General features: G+C 35.3%; 1 annotated feature.

Moving 5' to 3' along the window:
* Window positions 865-1,159: an enhancer, noted in NCBI's record as "tiled region #11927; HepG2 Activating non-DNase unmatched - State 24:Quies, and K562 Activating DNase matched - State 3:PromF". NCBI's record gives its function as "activates a minimal TATA promoter and a strong SV40 promoter by Sharpr-MPRA in HepG2 and K562 cells {active_cell/tissue: HepG2 | K562}" and the evidence as "EXISTENCE:reporter gene assay evidence [ECO:0000049][PMID:27701403]".

Raw genomic sequence — 23,753 nt, forward strand, 5'->3', positions numbered from 1 at the left:
AAATACAGGTAACGAATGACAAAGAGAGAATCAAGCATAGGCACTTTGACTCTAGGCAAGATGTTTTTAACCATTACGCCAACCTCTCTGCTAAGGCCCATTTATTCATTCAATATGTGCCACTTGCATTTATTCAGAAAACATGTATTAGGCAATGGAAATATGGCTGAGAATAAAAGGCATTTTGCAAACAAATTTAAAAAAACAAAACAAAACAAAACAAAAAACGGCTGGGCGCTGTGGCTGACGCCTGTAATCCCAGCCCTTTGGGAGTCCGAGGCGGGCGGATCACAAGGTCAGGAGATCGAGATCATCCGGGCTAACATGGCGAAATCCCGTCTCTACTAAAAATACAAACAGGTAGCCGGGCGTGGTGGCGGGCGCCCGTAGTCCCAGCTACTCCTGAGGCTGAGGCAGGAGAATGGCGTGAACCTGGGAGGCGGAGCTTGCAGTGAGAGGAGATGCGCCATTGCACTCCAGCCTGGGCGACTGACTGAGACTCCGTCTCAAAAAAAAAAAAAGAAAAAAACCCTGCCTTATGAATCTTAACTTCCATAGGGACATACCTCATTGTGTGTCCAGAATTGGTGGGTTCTTGGTCTCACTGACTTCAAGAATGAAGCCGCGGACCCTCGCCGTGAGTGTTACAGCTCTTAAGGTGGCGCGTCTGGAGTCTGTCCCTTCTGATGTTCAGATGTGTTCGGAGTTTCTTCCTTCTGGTGGGTTCGTGGTCTCGCTGGCTCAGGAGTGAAGCTGCAGACCTTCGCGGTGAGTGTTACAGCTCTTAAGGCCGCGCGTCTGGGGTTGTTCGTTCCTCCCGGTGGGCTCGTGGTCTCCCTGGGCTCAGGAGTGAAGCTGCAGATCTTCGCGGTGAGTGTTACAGCTCATAAAAGCAGCGTGGACCCAAAGAGTGAGCAGTAGCAAGATTTATTGCAAAGAGCGAAAGAACAAAGCTTCCGCAGTGTGGAAGGGAACCCCAGCAGGTTGCCACTGCTGGCTGGGCAGCCTGCTTTTATTCTCTTATCTGGCCCCACCCACATCCTGCTGATTGGTAGAGCCAAGTGGTCTGTTTTGACAGGGCGCTGATTGGAGCGTTTACAATCCCTGAGCTAGACACAAAGGTTCTCCACGTCCCCATCAGATTAGTTAGATACAGAGTATGGACACAAAGGTTCTCCAAGGCCCCACCAGACTCAGGAGCCCAGCTGGCTTCACCCAGTGAATCCCACACCAGGGCTGCAGGTGGAGCTGCCTGCCAGTCCCAGTGCCGTGCGCCCGCACTCCTCAGCCCTTGGGTGGTCGATGGGACTGGGCGCCGTGGAGCAGGGGGCGGCGCTCATCGGGGAGGCTCGGGCTGCACAGGAACCCACGGAGTGGGTGGGAGACTCAGGCATAGCGGGCTGCAGGTCCCGAGCTCTGCCCCACAGGAAGGCAGCTAAGGCTCAGTGAGAAATCGAGCGCAGCCCTTGGGGGCTGGCACTGCTGGGGGACCCAGTACACCCTCCGCAGCTGCTGGCCCGGGTGCTAAGTCCCTCATTGCCCGGGGCCAGCAGGGCTGGCCGACTGCTCCGAGTGCGGGGCCCGCCAAGCCCACGCCCAGCCGGAACTCCAGCTGGCCCGCAAGCGCTGCAAGCAGTCCCGGTTCCCGCTCGCGCCTCTCCCTCCACACCTCCCTGCAAGCTGAGGGAGTGGGCTCCAGCCTTGGCCAGCCCAGAAAGGGTCTCCCACAGTGCAGTGGTGGGCTGAAGGGCTCCTCAAGTGCCGCCAAAGTGGGAGCCCAGGCAGAGGAGGTGCAGAGAGCAAGCGAGGGCTCTGAGGACTGCCAGCACGCTGTCACCTCTCAATTGCATTTTATGGATGAGTAGCATTCCATAGGGCGTATATATGTATACACATACATATGTGTATATACACATAGACACACACACACACAACATTTCTTTATCCAGTCTTCTATTGATTAACATTTAGTTTGATTTCATATCTTTGCTATTATGAATAGTGCTGTGATAAACATATGAGTGCAGATATTATTTGATATGATTTATTTTTCTTAGGGTAGAAATTCAGTAGTAAGATTACTGGATCAAATTGCAGTTCAATTTTTAGTTCTTTGAGAAATCTCTATACTGTTTTACATAGAGGTTGCATTAATTTACATTTCCACTAATATTGTATAAGCATTCCCTTTTATTTGCATCCTTGGCGACATCTGTTATTTTTTGCCTCTTTACTAATAGCCACTCTGACTGGCGTAAGATGATATCTCATTGTAGTTTTAATTTGTATTTCTCTGATGTGCATGTTTTCATATGTTTTTTGGCAATTTTTATATCTTCTTTTGAAAAAAGTCTGTTCATATATTTTGCCTACTTTTTAATGAGGTTATTTGTTTTTTGTTGTTGTCAATATGTTTGAGTGTCCTGTAAAAATCTGAATATTCGTCGTTTGTCAGATGCATAGTTTGAAAATATTTTCTCACATTCTGCAGCTTGTCTGTTTACTCTATTGGTTATCTCTTTTACTAGCAGAAGGTTTTCTAGTTAAATTAAGTCTCATTTGTCTATTTCTGTTGCATTTGCTTCTGGGGTCTTAGTCATGAATTATTTGCCAAAGCCAATGTCCAGAAGTTTTCCCTAGGTTTTCTTCTAATATTTTATAGTTGCAGGCCTTACATTAAACTCTTTAATCCATCTTGAATTGATTTTTGTATATAGTGAGAGTCCAGTTTCATTCTTCTGCATATGGCAATTCAATTTTTTCTGCACCATTTGTTGGATAGTGTTTCTTTCCCTAGTGTATGTTTTCATCAATTTTGTTGAAGATCAGTTTGCCGTAAGTTTACAGCTTTATTTCTGGGTTTTCTTTTCCATTCAATTTACCTATGTACTATTTTTATACCCTTACCATATTGTTTTGGGTACTATAGCCTTGTATTATAATTTGAAGACAGGTAATATGATGCTTCCAGGTTTCTTCTTTTTGCTTAGGATTGCTTTGGATATTTGGGCTCTTTTTTGGTTCCATATGAATTTTAGAATATTTTAGTAATTTTATAAAATATGGCATTGGTATTTTGGTAGAAATTGCACTGAATCTGTAGATTTCTTTGAGCAGTATAGTCATTTTCATAACATTGATTCAATCCATGAATATGGGGTGTTTTTCCAATTGTTTTTATCATCTGAAATTTCTTTCATCAGTGTTTGGTAGTTTTCTTGTGGAGGTCTTTCACCTCCTGAGTCAAAGTATTTCCAGGTTTTTTTTTTTTTGTAGCTATTATAAATAGAATTGACTTTTTGATTTGATTTTCAGCTTGATTATTAGCTAAGAAAGTTTTAATGGTCAGGATGGAAGATCAAACCAGCCATAACATTCCCTTAGACCAAAACCTAATTCGGACCAAAGTTTTAACTGCCTTCAATTTTATAAAGGCTGAGAGAACGAGGAAGCTGAAGAAGAAATGTTGCAAGGTATCAGATATTGACTAATGAGGTTGACAAAACAAGCTACCTCCATAACATAAAAGTAGGAGGTTAAGCAGCAATTGCTTATGTGGAAGCTACAACAAGTTATCCAGAAGATCTAGTTAAGATAATTGATGAAGGTGACTACACTAAACAACAGACTTTTGCTGTGGACAAAACTGCGTTCTATTGGAAGAGGATGCCATCTAGGACTTCATAGCAGGAGAGGAGAACTCAAGGCCTGTCTTCGAAGCTTCAAAGGACAAGCTGACTATCATATTAGGAGCTAATACAGCTGGTGATTTCAAATTGCAGCCAATGCTCATTTATTATTCTGAAAAATCCTGAGGGCCTTAAGAATTATGCTGAACCTACTCTGCCTGTGTGCTGTATAAATGAAACAATAAAGCCTGAATGACAGCACATTTGTTTACAGCATGGTTCACTGAATATTTTAATCTCATTGTTGAGATCCACTGCTCAGGGAAAATAACAACAACAAAAAAATATTTCTTTCAAAATATTAGTGTTCCTTGACAATGTACATAATAATTCTAGAACTCTCATAGTGATGTGCAAGGAGATTATTGTTGTTTTTATGTCTGGTAACACAATATTCATTCTGTAGCCTATAGATCAAGGAGTAATTTTGACTATCCAGTCTTATTATTTAAAAAAATACATTCATAAGACTATAGCTATTATAGGTAGTGATTCCTCTGATGGATATGGGCAAAGTGTATTGAAAAGTTTCTGGGAAGGATTCATCTTTCTGGATGCCACTAAAAAATTTATGATTCATGGGAAGTGGTCAAAATATCAAAATTAATATAAGTTTGGAAGAAGTTGATTCCCACACTTATTGATTACTTTTTCAAGAGTTCAGTGGAGGAAGTCACTGCAGATGTGGTGAATTTTTTTTTTTTCTTTTTGACAGAGTCTCACTCTGTAGCCCAGGCTGGAGTGCAGTGGTGCAATCTCGGCTCACTGCAACCTCCACCCCCAAAGGTCAAGCGATTCCCCTACCTCAGCCTCTGGGGTAGCTGGGACTACAGGCATGCGCCACTACACCCGGCTAATTTTTGTAATTTTAGCAGAGACAGGGATTCACCATGTTGGCCAGGCTTGTCTCGAACTCCTGACCTCAAGTGATACACCCGCCTCAGACTCCCAAAGTGCTGGGATTACAGGCATGAGCCACTGCGCCCAGCTCTAAATATTAAAAGAGCTAGAATTATAAGGGGAACCTGAAAATCTGACTCAATTGTGGCCATCTCATGAAAAAACTTGTACTGATGAGGAGTTGCTTTCTATGGATAAACAAAGTGGTTTTTTGAGATAGAATCTACTCCTGCCAAAGAGGCTGTGAATATTGTTGAAATGAAAACCAAGGATTTAGAATATCCCATAAACTTAGTAGATAAAATAGTTCATAGGGTTGTTAGAGGATTGACTCCAATTTTGAAAGAAGCTCTACTTTGTTTAATGTTATCAAACAGCATCACAAGCTACAGAGATGTCTTTTGTGAAAGGAAGAGTCAATCATTGCAGCACATTTCATTGTTGTCTTGTTTAGGGAAATTGCTACAGCCATCTTAACTTTCAGGAAACACCACCCTAATTATTCAGAAACCATCAACATTGAAGCAAAATCCTCTACCTGCAAAAAGATTACAACATTCATGGAAAGGTTCAGATGTTCATTAGCATTTTTTTGCAATAAAGTATTTTTAAATTAATGTATATACTTTTTCAGGCATAATGTTATTGCACACTTAATAGACTACAATATAATGTAAACATAACATTTATATGCACTGGAAAACCAAAATGTATATGCACTGGCAAACCAAAACCAAAGTGTGTGACTCGCTTTATTGAAATATTCACTTTATTGCTGTGATGCAGAACCAAACCTGCAATATCTGCAACGTATGCTTGTATATTTCACTTTAGATCAAGATAAGTATGTGGAGAAGAAAAAACCACTAAAAGGGAATATGAAGTGCCTAGGCTCTGTGTATTGGAGATTCAAACAAGTAGTCAGTAAAAAAGTCACATTGTTCATATTTGGGTTTTAGGAGAACTACTCTACCAGCAATTTAGAAAATGATTCAGAGGAAAGAGATTGAAGGAGATTCAGAGGATACAGTTTGCTTACAGAAATATGTTTTAAAATATAAACTAAAATTTGTGGAGAAGTTCTCAATTAAAAAGATCCAGTGAGCTAGGAATTCTGCAGAAAACATCATAGATTGGCCTGAGGATATAATGCTTGGCTATTGTTTCAACAAAAACCTTAGGATCTGAAAAGTTTATTACAAAATATTATGCTGGTTTTACTACTTTAATTTTTGAAACTAAAGTTAGGCTTATATACTTATACACAATCTTTCAGAAATATTAAGAGCGTCAAATGTCCACAATTTGAATACCATGGTTATAAGTTATAATAATGTAACTGCAAGAAAAGTGGTGAGACTGGTTGACTCTTTTTTTTTTTTTTTTTTTGAGACCAAGTCCCACTCTGTTGCCCAGGCTGGACTGCAGTGATGCTATCTTGGCTCACTGCAAGCTCTTCCTCCTAGTTTCAATCAATTCTCCCACCTCAGCATCCCAAGTAGCTAGGATTACAGGTGCTTGCCACCACACCTGGCTAATTTTTGTATTTTTAGTAGAGATGGGATTTCACCATGTTGGCCAGGCTGGTCCCAAACTCCTGACCTCAGGTGATCTGCCCGCCTTGGCCTCCCAAAGTGCTGGGATTACAGGCATGAGCCACTGCACCTGGCCTGATTAACTCTTAAGTAGTATCATAGGAGAGCTCAAATAATTATTCATCACCTTTATACAGTTTGTTTCATGAATTATGAAATTATATGAACTATATGAAAGTTCACCTCTGAATTCAGGAATCGATCACAATGCTGGTAGATGGTTAAGAGCCCTTTAGTTTTAGTGTTTTTAATTATTTGTGTTTGCTTTTTGTTACATTGTGAACTGCATTTTTTAAATCAATGAATTGTTGGTAACCTACTGAACTATTAAGATTCAAGATATTTTTTAGTTTTCTAGGTAGTATGCCAAAACAATTGAATAAGTGGTTCATTATTTGTAATATTTGATCTCTGATACAGTTATTTCTGACATTAAGATCATATGGCCTTTGCCCATATGTTCAGAATGTGCCTTTATCTTTTCACTTATGTTTAAAGAGCTTGCAATACTAAAATTCACTCTATAACCATAAACCAGAATCACTGAATATCTTCAATTCTTTTATTACAAATTTTCATATCATCTCCATTTATAAATCACATATCATTTAAAGCAATTTGTGAAAGTTGTTTTCACGAAATACTTTTGATCAATTATGTTTCTGCTTTTGAAATGAAGGGAGAAAGATCTGCAAAGGTGATTGGTTTTATGATACAACCAAATAAGACATGTTCCTTTACTCAGAAAATCTTTCAATATTATTATATGTTTTTTAACAAAATTAATATTTTTGGCTACATATTAAAGTTAACAGTAATGTAGTACTTACTACATGATGAGAACTATTCCAAAAAATTAACAAAGGTTAACCTATTTAAGGTTAACAACAAACTATGAAAGTAAGCACTATTATGTCCCTATTCTTCATTTTAGGAGAAGGAGTACAGAGAAAATACATATATTATCAGAGGTCTCCCATTTAGAAGGTAGTAAAACTAGAATTCAAACCCAAGTACTGTGACTCCAGAATGTGTGTTCTTCCTAACCATGCACCTTCATGGCATTTTATGCCTGTATTACCATTCATTTAGCCAATCAACTATTTGCATTTATCTTGCTTGTTCCAAAAAACTTAAAGTAATAAAATAACACCATTGTATTACTCTGTTCTCACACTGATAATAAAGACATACCTAAGACTAGGTAATTTATAAAGGAAAGAGATTTAATTGACTCATGGTTCCACACAGCTGGGGAGGCCACACAATCATGGTGGAAGGCAAATGAGGAGCAAAGTCACATCTTACCTGGTGGCAGGCAAGAAAGTTTGTGGAGAGGACTCCCATTTATAAAACAATCAGCTCTCATGAGACTTATTTACTACCTTGAGAGCAGTATGGGGAAAACTGCCCCCCATGACTTAATTATCCCCACTTGCCCCTGCCCTTGAGACTTGGGGATTATTACAATTCAAGTTGAGATTTGTTTGGGGACACAGTCAAACCATATCAACCATGTTAAGTATTTTAACAAGAAAATATTCTTACACACCTTTATTATAGCCTGAGAAAATAATAGTATAGCATAAATTTCCACTTTCGAGATTATGTAAAAAACATTTCTTTATTTAAATTGCTTTCCATAAAAATTGTATAAATGTATTCTCCCCTTAATTGCATCTGAGAGTTCTGATTCTCTTTCCTCTATGATAATGTTGTGTCTTTTCTTCTTTAACAATTTTTAAGGTTAAACTTTGTTTCAAGTGTGTGGGGATTCCTGTCTCAGTAGAATCCACAAAACATGAAAACAACCTTGGCTCCAGTTTTTTGCCATATGGAGGGGGCGAAGTTATGAACGCAAACAGCATTTTCTAAAATGCTGAGTTACTTGCAGCATAGTAGGCAACTAACAAAAGAACAGATGCTTTAAGAGTAGACGAAGATTGTTATATTTTCTATTCATGGCATAGTTAAGCGTAGGACACAGGAAGGGCAAGTGAGTTCCATTGTGTGAATGTGTAGGAGGACGTGGCAAGATAGCAATTTAAAACTTTTCACCTGCTTTAAAAATATAGAACATTCTGAAATTTTTTGTCAGGGAGATAACATGGTGAAACCCAGTCTCTACTAAAAATACAAAAATTAGCCAGGCGTGGTGGTATGTGCCTGTAATTCCAGCTACTTGGGAGGCTGAGGCTGGAGAATCGCTTGAACCTGGGAGGCGGAGGTTTCAGTGAGCTGAGAGCATGCCACTGTACTCCAGCCTGGGTGACAGAGCAAGACTCCATCTCAAAAAACAATAAATAAATAAGAGTATTAAAATTATTATATTGGTTTAGCAAGGACACACACAACTTCCTGTCAAAAGTAGAAATCATAAACTTAAAATCATTTAGATAATGTGATTGTGGAATACACAGAATTATTTTATTATTTTCTTTCATTTTTACTGTTTTTCACATTCTTATTGCTACTATTGTTTAACATTTAAAAAGTCTTCCAAGAGGGTTAGATATAATTGTGGATATGCAAAGAGCGCACCATCTGCTCTGACACTTAATAACTATAAGGGTGTCCATGGAAGTGCCAGTTAGCTTCAAATGCAAGTTAGAGGTTCAGGCAAGTAATCTTCTAGGCTGGAAGCATATGCCTCTCTTTCAGTGTTTCACCATGACTGTTTATTTGTCTACCTATTTTTGAAGTTGTGGATTATTTCTTTCTCTTAAAAGTTAGCCCATTCTCAGGACCAGACCCTTTTCCCAAACACATGAGGTGATGAGCTTTTTAAACTCTGTTATAGAGGCAGGCAGGAATAGATATCAATATAATGGCCCTGGAAATTTCAGGTAACCAGGCATTTTGAGAAATCTTCAAAACAACTTCATGGTAGAAATATATCCTTATGCTTTATTCTTTTACAATATTTATTGGCTTTATATAAGGTTCAAATCTTTATGTTCAGCTTGGGATGAACAGAACAAAGCTCTCAAGGATCTTGTATATGTTTAAGGAAGTAACCCTGTATATGTGTATATGACACAGTGTCATGGAGAAGCAATCATCAAGTCTATTGGGTCAATAGTAGAGAAATTTTACACCACAGGGTATATTTAAATTGGCTAGAGCAGGTAGAATGGAACATTCAGGCAGAGGTAAAAAAATGAGGAAGAATAAAAAGATATGCTCTACTGAAGACATCTCAGTGATTCTAATAACATTAGGTGGAAGAAAGGGGGATAATTAGGTTAGATAGAAGACCATAAATGCCAGGATTAAAAAACTGGATAAAAGACAACAAGAAAAATTACAAATGTACTCTGTGCAAAGAGCAAAACATGAAGTTATATGTGTTATGATTCAAACTTTTATATACATTGATGAGTAGTAAAGAACATGCACACTTACATCTAAAATAGGTGAATTTTAAATCAATAAAATATGTCAGAGAGATATTACATAATTGGCAATTTCTGATGACCTGGTTTTGTATTGAACAGATAAATTGCTTTCCTCACATTTTATAAAATTTGTGTTTAACAAGAAGATAATGCATACCCTCAGATTCACATATTTTATATTTCCAAAATAATGCAGAAAATATTGCTAGAAACATTATATGGATATAAAATTTACCCTAAAGATAATAAACTCATAAATACATACTAAACAGTAGAGCACAAGGCAATGAATTTTCATTTGTGTCACATAGAATCTTATTCTAACGTTCTCTATGTCTGAAAAGGACAATTGTGTAACAGATAACGTCTCTGTGAACCTAGATAAAATAGCGTATTTTAATCCCAATATGTACATGTCTAGAATTATATAATGCATACATTATTTGACACCAGATTTTAAATGGATCACAATTAATTTTTTCTTTATCTTCATGTTCTTTATGAGAAGTAAACAGACATTGCTTTAATTATGGCATAAAATATGTTCCCTGTTTAATTTCAAAGACAATTTCTGTGTCATACATTTATTGTGGGAAGAATGCAGGAAGTTAATCTACTAAGGGTTCTCTCTCATTAGTTTCAGATAAATCAGTGCCCAACTTAAACACTGAGGTAGTGAATATTTTTCCCTAAAATATTCTTTCTTAATGTTGGCCTAAATTCTACTATATTTGTATTCATGGCTGGTAGTTTGAGATTGTTGCTGCCTTCAGTTTGATGATAGAATTTTCCCACATATGTATGTTTCTTGGGGGAATTTTATTTTGTCATTTACTTTCTACCTATTATATACTTTTCTTACATATTTTTTCTCTCTTTTACTAAATCTTCTTCCACTTTTATAGAAGTGTTTATGTGTAAACAAAAATACTATCTTATATGAATCTAGTAAAGCACAGAAAGCCCAATCTATGGAATATATGTGTTGGTGTGTGTGTGTGTGTGTGTATACACAATCTATGGAATATGTGTACATATATATGTGTGTGTATGTTATATATATATATATGTAAGTAAATTCAAATATTGAATATGTGTTGGTATTTGTTTCATTTCTATATGGAAATTCAAATATTGAATTTGAACTCAATAATTATATTTACTCTAATATTTTTTCTGGTTTACCCTCTTCTGTTGAGAACTGCTCACCATTTTCATTTGGAAATAACACAAATACACACATTCAATATTTAAATTTATTTTGGTAAACTTTAAGAAAAAATTGATGTAAATACTCACAACATACCATAACTTTTTCTTATTTATTGATATGGTTTGGCTCTGTGTTCCCACCCAAATCTCACCTTGAATTTTAATAATTTCCATGTGTCAAGGTCAGTACCAAGTGGAGGTAATTGAATCATGGGGGAGATTTCCCCAATGATGTTCTCATGATAGTGAGTGGGTTCTTGTGAGATCTGATGGCTTTATAAGGGATTTCTTCCTTCACTGTGCACTCACTCTGTCCTGCTGCCCTGAGAAAACGCACTTCCACCATGATTGTAAGTTTTCTGAGGCCTCCCTAGCCATGTGGAACTGTGAGCCAATTAAACCTTTTTTCTTTATAAATTACCCGATTTCAGATATTTCTTCATAGTAGCATGAGAATAAACTAGTACATTTACTCTAATATTTTTCCTGGTTTACCCTCTTCTGTTGAGAATTACTCATAGGTACTTTCTATTCAGATAACCTCTGTTTCTGCTTAAGACCATAAGAATAAACATTATTGTAATTTTATTTTCCCCATTTTTATTCATCTTCTTTTGTTGTCTGTTTTTTTTTTTACTCTTTGGACTCTGACAAAAATGTTCTCTTTGTGTAGGAAAAAGAAGAATTTAAGTGATTTTTTAAATTCTTCTTTTGCCAAACAAAGATAGTTTTCTCACTGAAGATAAAATATGTAATCATTTCTTTAATTGACATTTTTCTCTATTTATTCTTCATTCAAAAACTATTTGGATGTTCTAACTCCACAGTGGGTATTATGGTAAGCTATTGTACAATTTGCTAAAATACACCATATCAACCCTCACTCAACTTCAGGAATAGCCATAGGTTTTCTGCTGTCTCATCAGTATCACCTGACTAAATGTACATGCTTCAGTGTACTTAGTGAAACTGCCATCACTATTCGCCACTGTTGTGCATCCTGATGCTTTGAATAAAATGTACAATGACTGCATATTTCTAAACTGTGCCACCTGATACAGTAGCTACTAACTACATAAGGCTCTACATGTTTAAATTTAAATTAATTCAGATAAATAATATGAAATTTGATATTTTTACAAACACTGGTAGTATTTAAATAGCTCAATAGGCACAAGTGATTATTGTATTGTAAAAAGCCTATGTAGAGGATTTCCATCATTGTAGATAGTTATTTTGGACATAGTATATGGGCCAAGGGAACAGGATATAATCTCATAGGTCTATAAAACATTTATCTTTTTTCTACTGTGAGTACAAATCAATGAATCCTTCCGTAGCCCTATAGAAAAGTTAAAGGAAACAAATTACTAAGAAATTTTATTTTATTGTTTCTTTTTACACTACTTAATTTACATTAATTGACACAATTATCATACATATTTATGTTTTAGTTGTCATGCAAATAATCATTTTCTGTTGCAGTTGGATTTTTAAAAATGTATTTTTATTCTCCCTTAGGTGGTTCTCAAAGTAATTACCCACATGTTAGTGTCTAGGTTGGCATCTCTACATTGTCTGTTTTTTAATTAAAGTATATTGTGGATTAAAAGATATTTTGTATGCATAATTTTTATTAATAAAAATTCAATATTACTAAAAGATAAAAGTGGAAATATTGCACTTGTTTTTGTTCCTGAATTAGATCATTTCATTTATGACTCTCTCTCTACTTCTAGAAAACTAAATTGTGATATAAACAGATGGTTTGTATTTTGTCCTGTTCCCAACTGTTTTGTTCTCACATCCACAGGAAAGGAAAATGACAGCTTTTGTGATATTCTGGAAACAATTATTTGAGAAAATTTATTCCAGTCTTCATTTAAAAGTTTGAAATTTAGTATAAAACATCGCACTGTTATCCAATAAAAATTTCTTAAACATAATATCATGACATAAAATCAGCATTAATAAAAATAATTATAATTAACATGAAATTAGTAAGCTTATAGGTATCAGTTACTAGGTACCGAGCACTATTGAGAGCTTTACACAGTTAGCACATGCAATTACCTAAACAGTTTTCTGAGGTAGATGTTTTTATTATTACTTTTATCTCTTGATGAAAACCTGAGGCAGGAATATAATAAGATGCTATGAACAACCCAAATATGGCTAGGAGCTCCATCATACAGGAAGCACAGAAAGTCAAATAACTGTGGTGTCTGAAATTAATAGGAAAAGTTTAAACTTCAGTTCCTTTGCCTCAATGTAATCACCAGTTTGCTGGTTATATGACCTTGGCCACAATAATTACCTTTTATGTTTCAATTATTTATCTTCATAATTATCAAAATATTATTATTCAACCTATTTAAAATAGTGAAGGAACCTGAAAAGGAATTATTGTTGCTTGATTATTTGGCCCCATTCACCAATCTGTCTTCTGTATTAAACAGCAGTCTCAATGATTATTTTTCTACGTGTCTTACTTTTTCTTTAAGAATACGAATCTTAGCCTGCTCATTAGCCAAAATACATGGAAAATGGACAGACCAACTATATCATTTATTTTCAAAGTGTTCCTTTCTTTTTTTATTTTTAAGGTATTCTTTTTGAAGTATTTCTATATATACAGTGATTATAGGTATGACTGCACAGGTTGGGCACTGTACAGTTCCAGAGAATGTCATTCACAGATATTACAACCACACGCTGTGGCTGGGATTCATATAATTTTCTGGATATATTATTTAAATTATCTCCTATTTTAATAATTCCAAAGTCAAAATAGAAAACTGTACTTATGTATTTCTAAGAGATATTCTTGAATATGAATACATGGAAAGCATGCCTATGTAAAATTTAGAACATATTATTTTTTATTCTAATCTGGATAATTATTGTCTTCATTCATTCATATCCCCAAGCATTTGCAAAGAACTTCACAGTTTATCCAAGTGTTAACATTAAAATTAGATTGTGAATTAGAGCAAATATTTATACAACATGACAAGATAACAAACACTTTCATATAAACAATAGGTTTTAGATAAACCAATAAACCAATCAATTCCCATTTACATTTTGTAGTTAACTATCATTTCTATGTAATGCTAGAACATATTTTTAAGTACCACCCTTTTTTCCTAAAGATCTGCCATAAGAGACATAATGAAATGTATATAAATATGTGTGCATATATATATCCTTTATTATATTATCCTTTTGTTTCTTCATATATTTATATATGTAAATAAAATAAAATGAATAAAATGTAAATGTATAAAGAAACAAAAGGATAGCATAAATGAGAATAAGAGAAGATAAATAATATGTTTTGGAATTTACTCAGCATCTGATTCATTACAGCAATTAAGTTTTGGAGTTACGTTTATGATAATCATTGACTTAATTTTGTTTCTGTTGCAAAGTTCAGATTACTCAACGAAATAAGAACAAGTTTCTTCACATGTCATTAGGGTGATCAATAATTCTAAGTCTTCTTGTTTAGAGCTGTGAGAAACTAAGAAGAAAAAATGTCATCCACATATACCTATATATAACTCAGATTTTTTTATACTTTGAAAAGTATGCTCTTCTGTGTGTTCTCCATCATCTTAAATATTTAGTTGATTTTGGGATATTTAAATAGGAGTGGGACATAGAGGTGAAATGGTCATTGCTTTTGCTGTCCAGATGGAGAAACTCGACTATAAAAAACGTAGTGAAACTCTGCTGTCAGAAGCACAACAAACACACAAATCCATATTTTCAAGTTCTTGTTCTTGTGTATTTTCCACTAAAATAAAATATACGATATCTCTTGTTTTTGGCCTTTTCCATAGTTCTGATTTCATTTAAATACAGGCAAAAGGAATTTTTTTAGTTGTATCAGAAAAACAGAGCAGGATAATTATTTAATGTAATTAATTCTATTTCTCTTCAGGGCATTGCATAAACTAGGAACTACTTTGGTTTACAAAGAAATATCTACTATAATATTTTCTTACAGATTTATTGAACCTAAGATAGTTTTCTCCATAAACATAATTTTGAATGCAATCTGCTGTAAAAAGAACATATATTTTTAAGAATTACTTTCAATGCCTGTTTTTTCTGTTGTTTCTACTTTCCATTTGTTCTTTAAAAAACAATAAAATTTCTTACAGATAAATATATCTATATTACAAATAAAGATAAATTTCTTGTCTTTGTATAAGGAAAACTTAGTTTTCTCAATTAGCTAATATAGAAATATATAAGTTGTTTTATATTGAAATGTTTAATGTTAATTTACAGTTTTAAATTTATGGTAGTCAAATTTTGCTTTGTGGATTTTAACGTATTTTCAGAGAAGCTATACAGTATGGTGAGTAACAGCATCAACACTGAAGCCATTTAAAAAATCAAATTCTGACTTCATCCCTTCTAAATTGTTTGACATTGAATGAGAAATATAACCTCTATGATCCTCAGTTTCCTCACTGGTAATATGGGAGTAATGACTGTGTGTCTAACTCCTTGATTTTCTGAATGTTAAGTGAGCTTATCTATATAGTGTTCTCAGAACAGTACATCCTAGAATAAAATATCCTGGAACTTTCATTGTAATTATTATTACTGGTATGATTGTCACATAAACCAAAAGCACAATGCATGTGGTGCATCCCTATTTATGTATATATGAAGAGCTTTGTGTTTTGTCAATAGCATTTGATATATACTCACATCAAAGAATCTGGTCAAACCCCCATAGAATCCTGATATCATACTTTATTATTTAAAAAGTCTAAATTTTGATAGATTTATCAAACATAAAAGATATTTTACTTGGCGGTTTAGTTTGCATTGCCTCTCTATATACCATGCTAGATTTAGAATAGAGCCTCTCTCCATTTATTCATTTCTCATTAGCTAAGAGCTTTGACTAATCTAATAGGTCTCTGATTCCATTAGAATCCCAAAAGACTTCTAATTCTTTCAAGAGAATAAGAAATTCACTCTCTCTACTTTCTTGACACTGGGTTATCAATTACTGCTTGTCTTCTGTGTTCCAGGCAGTGGGTGAGACACCAGGGATGCAAGATATTTTCTACATTAATGCACGCATAATCAATAGTACGGCCCAAGGTCATATATAATTTGATTTTATAAATATTTGAAGAGGACAATAAAATGCTACACAGTTAATAATCTCACAAAGTTTACAAAACATTTTAAACTAGGATAGTACCAAAAGTAAGTAGTAATCTACTTTAATCATCTAAAGAGAACAAAACACCCTCATCTACACACTACACATATGACTGCCCATCTCACAGAGGTGAAGATGGCAGAGTAAAGCCTATATATTTTTAAAATAGGTTTTGTTAAATTATGCTATATGTGCATAGAAATCTGTAGTTTTTATGAGTTATTCAAACTAAAAAAATATTTTCTTTTCTTGTTGAGAGTGAGAGAAGGAAGGGACAAGGAAAACAATATTCTAGACTTCTTATATACCAAGATATTTAGTATAATATTTTCATGTTATCTCAGAGTTTCAGCAGAGGCCTTGGGTACCAACTACCCCAGATCTAAGGTGTGACATTGACTACATACACATGACATGTTAAGGAAATGTAGCACTGATTCTCTCAGCATTAGTAATCACTCACCTATAATAATTTAGAAAGGTCAAGGAGAGACTCTATTTATGGAGGAACTTGTCAGTGTTTTGTGTCGATTTATTTTAAGCCAAAGTACAAGACAGGGATTTTGAGGTAATGACTCAAAGATGTTAACATATACACTATTGAGTTTGGGAAGCATGAGGACTCTATGAGGGGCAGTGGCTAGATGGTCATTAGATATGGATAACAGTGTATCAGGGAATCACAAGAGTCACTATCTGCGATCCATGTTTTTATCTATAGTGAAAGTTTCAAAAATCTTGTATTCTATTTGTCAAAATTGAGCCATGCAGAAGGAAGGTGGCTGTAGCTTTCTTAAGAGAATCTACCCAATTGTCCTGACATGAGTTGAAAATTGACCCAGCAAAGTAGAAAGCATGGAAACCAAGGCTCATGTGGCTAAGTTGTAAAACGCCAGGTGCAGATTATCTCTCCCATTATGAATTGCATTTGAATTTTTCCACCAAGGGGTGAAGGTAGAGGAGGTAAATATCTCTAATTAACATATAAAACACAACATTATAGAAAGAGCCAATAATCGTACATTTAATGTGCAGATTTCCCTAATAATAAAGCACAATGCATTCAGTTTTCTATTTTTTCTGTGTTTTCTTTCTACGTCAATGCTTGAAGTGTCTGTAAACTGGATAGTGCATAGGCATGAAGCATGACAAGAGCAGAGTTGAAGAAAAGGAGTAAACTTCTCCAACGCCCTAGAGCAAGATTCCAAGCCTACAATAGATTCAAAATGGTGGAGAGGAGACAAGTTACCTTTGCATTAAATTTTAAAGACTTTATCATTACGATAGCCTGGGTAGAGCTTTAATTGATAAAAATAAAATCATTTGCATGTTTAAATAAACTTGGCTACAACCATCTATGTACAAGGAAAGAACTGGATCTAGATCAGATGAAACGGCCAGATGGAGAAAACGCCAACTTTTCAACTTAACAGTAACATATTGTGTTAGTTTTATATGGCTGCCATAAATTACCACAACACACAGTGGTTTAAAACAACAGACCTTTATTCTCTAACACTTTAGAGGCCAGAAGTCCAAGATGGAAATAATGGCAAAATTGCTTCTTTCTTGGGGGCTCAGTAAGATAACTTATCTCATGCCTCTCTCCCCATTTCCCATCATTTCTAATCATCCTTGGCATTTCATGGTGTGTGACAGCATGACTCCGATCTCTGCCTCTGTCATCAAGTCATGTTCTCCATGTGTATCTCTGTGTTCAAATTATCCGTCTTTTTATAAGGACACTATTCACCAGATTAGGAACCACAATAATTCCATACAATCTCATTTTAGTTCAATTACAGCTTCAGAGACCCTATTTCCAAATAAAATTACATTCACAGGTTCCAGATGGACATGAATTGGGGGGCAGGGGAGACTATTCTGCCCAGTACTCCTGTCACATATTTACATACAAATGTTAGTAAGAGTTTTGAAGTGGATCTATTCCAATTTCATGATCTGAACATTATCTTCATTCTCAAATACACAGTTAGTTACATTTTCTGCCTGTGGATTTAGCTTGGTTTCCTCCTCTTATTTTATTTTATTTTGTTTTTTTTAGATGGAGTCTCACTCCAGCCTGGGAAGGCTGGAGTGCAGTGGCACGAACTCGGCTCACTGCAATCTCTGCCTCTCAGGTTCAAGCAATTCTTCTACCTCAGCCTCCCGAGTAGCCAAGATTGAGGAGTGCGCCACCACACTCAGCTAATTTTTGTATTTTTAGCAGACACTGGGTTTCGCCATGTTGGCCAGGCTGGTTTCAAACTCCTAACCTCAGGTGATCCACCCACCGTGGCCTCCCGAAGTGCAATAACAGGTGTGAGCCACCATGTCCAGACCATCTTTTTTTTTTTTTTTTTTTTTTTGACACAGTCTCACTCTGTTTCCCAGGTTGGAGTACAGTGGCATGATCATAGGTCACTACAGCCTCCAACTGTTGGACTCAAAGGATTCTCCCATCTCAGCCTCCTGAGTAACTGGGACTCTAATCTTGTGCCACTGTACTTGACTAATTTTTTCTTTTTTAACTTTTTGCCTTTTGTAGAAATAGGTCTCCTTTTTTACCCAGGCTGGTGTGGAACTCCTGGCTTCAAGTCAACATCCCACCTTAGCCCCACAAATTGCTAGGATTATAGGCATGAACCATCTGTTAATTATCTTAATAAAGAGAGAATGAACTCAATTGGATATCTGAAATTGGAAGAGAGGAAAAAAAGGACTTAAATTTCATGCATTCAAAATGGAGCTACTAATAGTATCTATCACATAACATATAAAAGTGATGAGAAAATGAAATAATACATGTTTAGAAACAGGAAGATGTTTGAAACATAATAGGCATTTATGATTTTTGCGGGCTTTTTTATTAAGCATGCAAAGCAGGAGAATTTTTTTACTGATAACAAAGTATCTCAAAGGCTAAGTATTTTTAGAAAAAGGTAAAGAATTGTTAATGACATATCCTTTTCTTCCATTTATGTTGAACATTATAATGTTATTCTACTCAGTAAAATACTACCATTTTAATTGATATCATTTTAATAGAATTTCATTTTTAACACATGGAAAAAACAGATAAATGGAAGATAGTTTTGATTATTTATTTTACTTTAATGTTTGATTTTTATAATTCATTGGAAAAGAAGCAAAGCTATATTTCTCTGTTCAATTATTTTCCAAAAATGGTACAATCTTTTCACCTCTAAGTGTTACTATTGCATATTAACAAGTAAAATAAGAACAATATTTTATTTCAAAATAAGTAAGATATATTGCCTGTACTTTCACATTAAACTTATGTAGTTTACTTTTTTATATTTATATGTAAAGTAGACCAACATTTATTTATTTATTTTTTTTTTTTTTTGAGACGGAGTCTCGCTCTGTCGCCCAGGCTCACTGCAAGCTCCGCCTCCCGGGTTCACGCCATTCTCCTGCCTCAGCCTCCCGAGTAGCTGGGACTACAGGCGCCCGCCACTACGCCCAGCTAATTTTTTGTATTTTTAGTAGAGACGGGGTTTCACCGTTTTAGCCGGGATGGTCTCGATCTCCTGACCTCGTGATCCGCCCGCCTCGGCCTCCCAAAGTGCTGGGATTACAGGCGTGAGCCACCGCGCCCGGCCCAACATTTTTATATGAATAAAGGCAGACATATTTCCAAAATGAAGAGTTTTATTTTTTTCTATTCACACTCAAGAGAGTACACAGAATTATCAAATAGATCCATTACATCAGCTAAGTTCTTAAAAGCCTTATATTTATTCAAGGTAGCTCTGTGAGGGTATAGACAGAATTTAAAAACATATGCACACATACTAGAAGCCCTTGACTTATTCTCTGCTTTGCCACATGTAGTTAGAAAAAACAGTAAAAAGGGTAAGGAATCTTTGTCTATGGATTTTTTTCCCCTTTTCTATATTGTTAGCTCTCAATAATGGTTACAATAAAACTTTCCAGAGTGGAACTCATTGACCAAAACATAGTGATCTAGCCAAGCTTAGTATGATATTCCGAAGTAAAGGAAAAACAAATCAAAACATAACCGGGCCATTTGAAAATAAACAAGAAAAGTTTATTTTAAGGAATCTAAACTAAAAGCTAATCTAGGAAAATAAATCTTTAATTTTTGTATTTTTTGTGGTGATGGTGATGTATTGTTATGTTTAATTTTATTTAATTTTTATCAATGTGAAGTGGCATTACCTCCAGTGTATACCGAAAGCAATATGCTCTTTTGTTTGTTTCTGCCTCAGCGATATATATTTTTCCACACTGGTTTGTGGCTGCATGTCAGAGCCACTATGAAATTCAGTTAAGCATTCACATATCACTCTTGGTAAATGCATGGAGATGTGGCACACTAGGATGTCTGTGTTTCCATTCAATATACACCCCTGAGGGCATGAATTATGAATCATTTATCCTAGTATTTCCAGAGTATATCACTATACATGGACCACAGTACACATTCACTAAATGTTTATTAATAAAAGAAGGAATTACTAATTTGAATAACTAAAATTAACCCCGCCATGAAGAAAGCATCATCTTTCTTTAAGAGTGGCTTTGTAATAGGAATAAGAATCTGTTAAATTATAGTTATTTTATATTCAGTTATGTTAAGGACCTAGGTTTTTTGAGACATATTTAATTGTATAAGAAATAAAATTTTAAATGAAACATTGACTAGAAACTTATTTAGGCATGGTTATTAAAGAATGGAAACATTTCTGGATGATGGAAAATTCTATTTCAGTATGATATTTTTTTCACAAATTATTAAATATAGTGATAACAGCATTCTCTCAATTCTTCCCATGGTTCATTCAAATACCCCTTGTATATTATTTTGTGTTCTTTAACCGCAAAGTGAGCATAACCTGTATATCTCAATGACATTTCTTTCTAAATAATAGTTTAAGTAAGATAGAACAAAAATGCTATGCTATTATGATTATACATTTTTGAGTCTATCTAGCAATATCATTACAGATCAAAAGCTCAGAGAGAGCTTGACAATTCTCAGAAATGGAGTTACAATTTTAAAGAACAAAATGTCATTTCTTAAACAATGAATCATCACTGATATACAATTCTCCATCAAGTAATTAGTAATTCCTTTATATAGTAGGTCTTATCAACATTTTTGTAAGAAAGAAATAGAGCTCACAATTGGATTTTAGAAATATCTGTCTTTAGTTCAATAGATTTCAACATCACCAGCCTGGTCTCAGCACATATCATTAGCAGCTATCTCAGTGGATACAGTTAATTATCACTATTTCTTTCAGATAATGAATACTAAATAGAATACTTGCTCTGTTACAAAGTTTGAAACTGTGCTTTTGATATGAAAAAGATATCACTAAGAGTACAATGAAGTGGCATCTTTATTTTTTGCTAATGCCAGCCTGAAACTTTGCTCAATGTTTTTAACTGCCTAGGGACATTTTTCCCCCACTAATTGTAGCCCTACTGCTAGTGATTTGAGAAATCATTAGTGGAATTTTAAAATCACTGTTCTTACATAAACAAGCCTTAATTTTCAAATTCAGCTTTTTGCAACGCACTGAGATATAACATTTTAATGCATACTCACTGAAGGTTACCATTCTTCTTTATTAAATATATTGTAGTAAACATGTTTTCAACTTGATTATGTATACTGCATTTTGAAACAAGGAGATTGAGTGACTGGGCGTGTTGAGGGAAACTCTATTTAATACTACCTCAGATAAGAAAGAGGGCAAAATCATTTCTTGTTTCAAATAGAAATGGCTTAGTAAATGGGAATTACAAGGTCATGTCAATGTGCAATCTGATTATCAGTAGAAGTATACTGAGTTGAAGTTCAGAGGACATTGTTTTTCTACCAGAGGGTTCTGTGGAATTATATTATAAATAAAGTTATATATATAAAACAAAATAGAGTCCTTGTCATATTTCCTTGAAGGATATTTCCACATGGCAGACTTGTGCATTCAGGAAAAAGCAAGATGTCTTCTTTTCTTATTGTCTCATAATCCACATACTGAAATAGAAGTTAAAAAATGTAAACTAACGTGACTTATTCCAAAGAAATGAGGGGAAGATACATATATTATTACAAATAAATCTAGACCATTTTGGCAAACAGCGTTAGCATTTTTCTTGACAAAAGTTGCTAAAAGTTGGTCTGCTTCATCACTGACAACTGGTTAAAATATTGAAGAAAGAAAAGTATAAAAATATACACAGTTCAGTCAGAAGCGGACCAGACATGAAATGCAATGTGATAAAATTTAGGTAGAGATGAGTGTAGGGGTTAATATACACATCAGATTTTATTTCATTCTTTTAAAATTATTTTCTATTTATTATATCCCAATGGAATCAGAGTATTTAAGAAACTTCATAATTTCAGCAACCTGTCTGTGTTCCTTCTTTGTAAAAGAAAATGTTCCTCTATTTATATTTCAAATAATTATGTATAAAATGTTATTATAACTTTCCAGCCACCATTTTCCAACATTTATAGTTATAATATATTACAAATGATGCTAAAGTGGTTTATTTTAGAATCCTAAATGATCAAATAAAATAATAATACATATGCTCAGATATCACCTTGAAGTTTTCAAGGCATTTTTATTTACATTACATTAGTTGGTCTTCAAAGCAAGCCTGTGAGGCAAGCAGCACTGTTTTTAGTACAGCCTTGATACAGAAAACAGAACAGTTTCATGAGGTTAATCAATTTATTGAAGTAATGGAGTCAGAAAAAGGCCAAGTCAGCTTTTGAGAGTGTGTCTTCTGAATGCTGCTTCCACAACAGTTTGTCCGTATGTTAGTAGCAGCAAATCCATACAGGTATGCAGCAACTTCAGTTCTTGCCTACTCACATGAAAGAATTTGACTGAGGGGCACAAAACAGAGTAAGAGACTGAGGCAAGTTTTAAAGCAGGAGTGAACGTTTATTAAAAAGCTTTAGAGCAGGAACAATAGGAAGTGATGTACATTTGGAAGAGGGCCAACTGGACAACTTGAGAGATCAAGTGCATGGTTTGATGTTTGACTTGGAGTTTTTTATGTTGGCATGCTTCCAGGGTCTTGAATCACTTCTCCCCTGATTCTTTCCTTGGGGTGGACTGTCCATATGAGCAGTGGTCTGCCAGCACTTGGGAGGGGCCGTGTGCACAGTGCATTTACTGGAGTTATATGCATGCTCACTTGACGTGTTCTTACCTTACCAGTTGAATCTCCCTAGAAGGTAGTTTACCAGTCAAACTCTGGCATTTTGCCTCTTAGTGCATATGCTCTAGCCCACTGGCCAACTCCTGAGATCTTATCCGGAAGCTGCTGATCACCAGTTTCAGGTATTTCTATCTATTGGGAAACTGCCTTTCTGTGGCACCAACTGCAACCAATTATTATTTTAGAAAGAGAGTGTAATAATTGCCTGACCATCCCCTGATGGTCACCTGACATTCTTGGTGGCAGTTTGGAGGGGTCTCCTGCCCTGTTCATGTCTGACTAACTACCTACTCTAACATTTTTCACGCTCAAGAATCCAAGACCCCAATTCTTTGGGGAAAATGGTCAAAGGTCAGTCTTCTGTAACTGCTTCCTGCTGACAGAGGGGATGTGATGGTTGTTCTATGGGTCTTGGCCTCTTGCTAACTGTGAGAGTAGGGTGGCTCCATGCATTGGAGAAAGTGGTATTTAGACAGCTCTAAAGGAGAAAAGGGAAGGATTTGCCTCTGTTGTGTCTGACTAATGG

Source organism: Homo sapiens, chromosome 4 (genome assembly GCF_000001405.40).
Source record: "Homo sapiens chromosome 4, GRCh38.p14 Primary Assembly".
NCBI classification, from domain to species: Eukaryota; Metazoa; Chordata; class Mammalia; order Primates; family Hominidae; genus Homo; species Homo sapiens.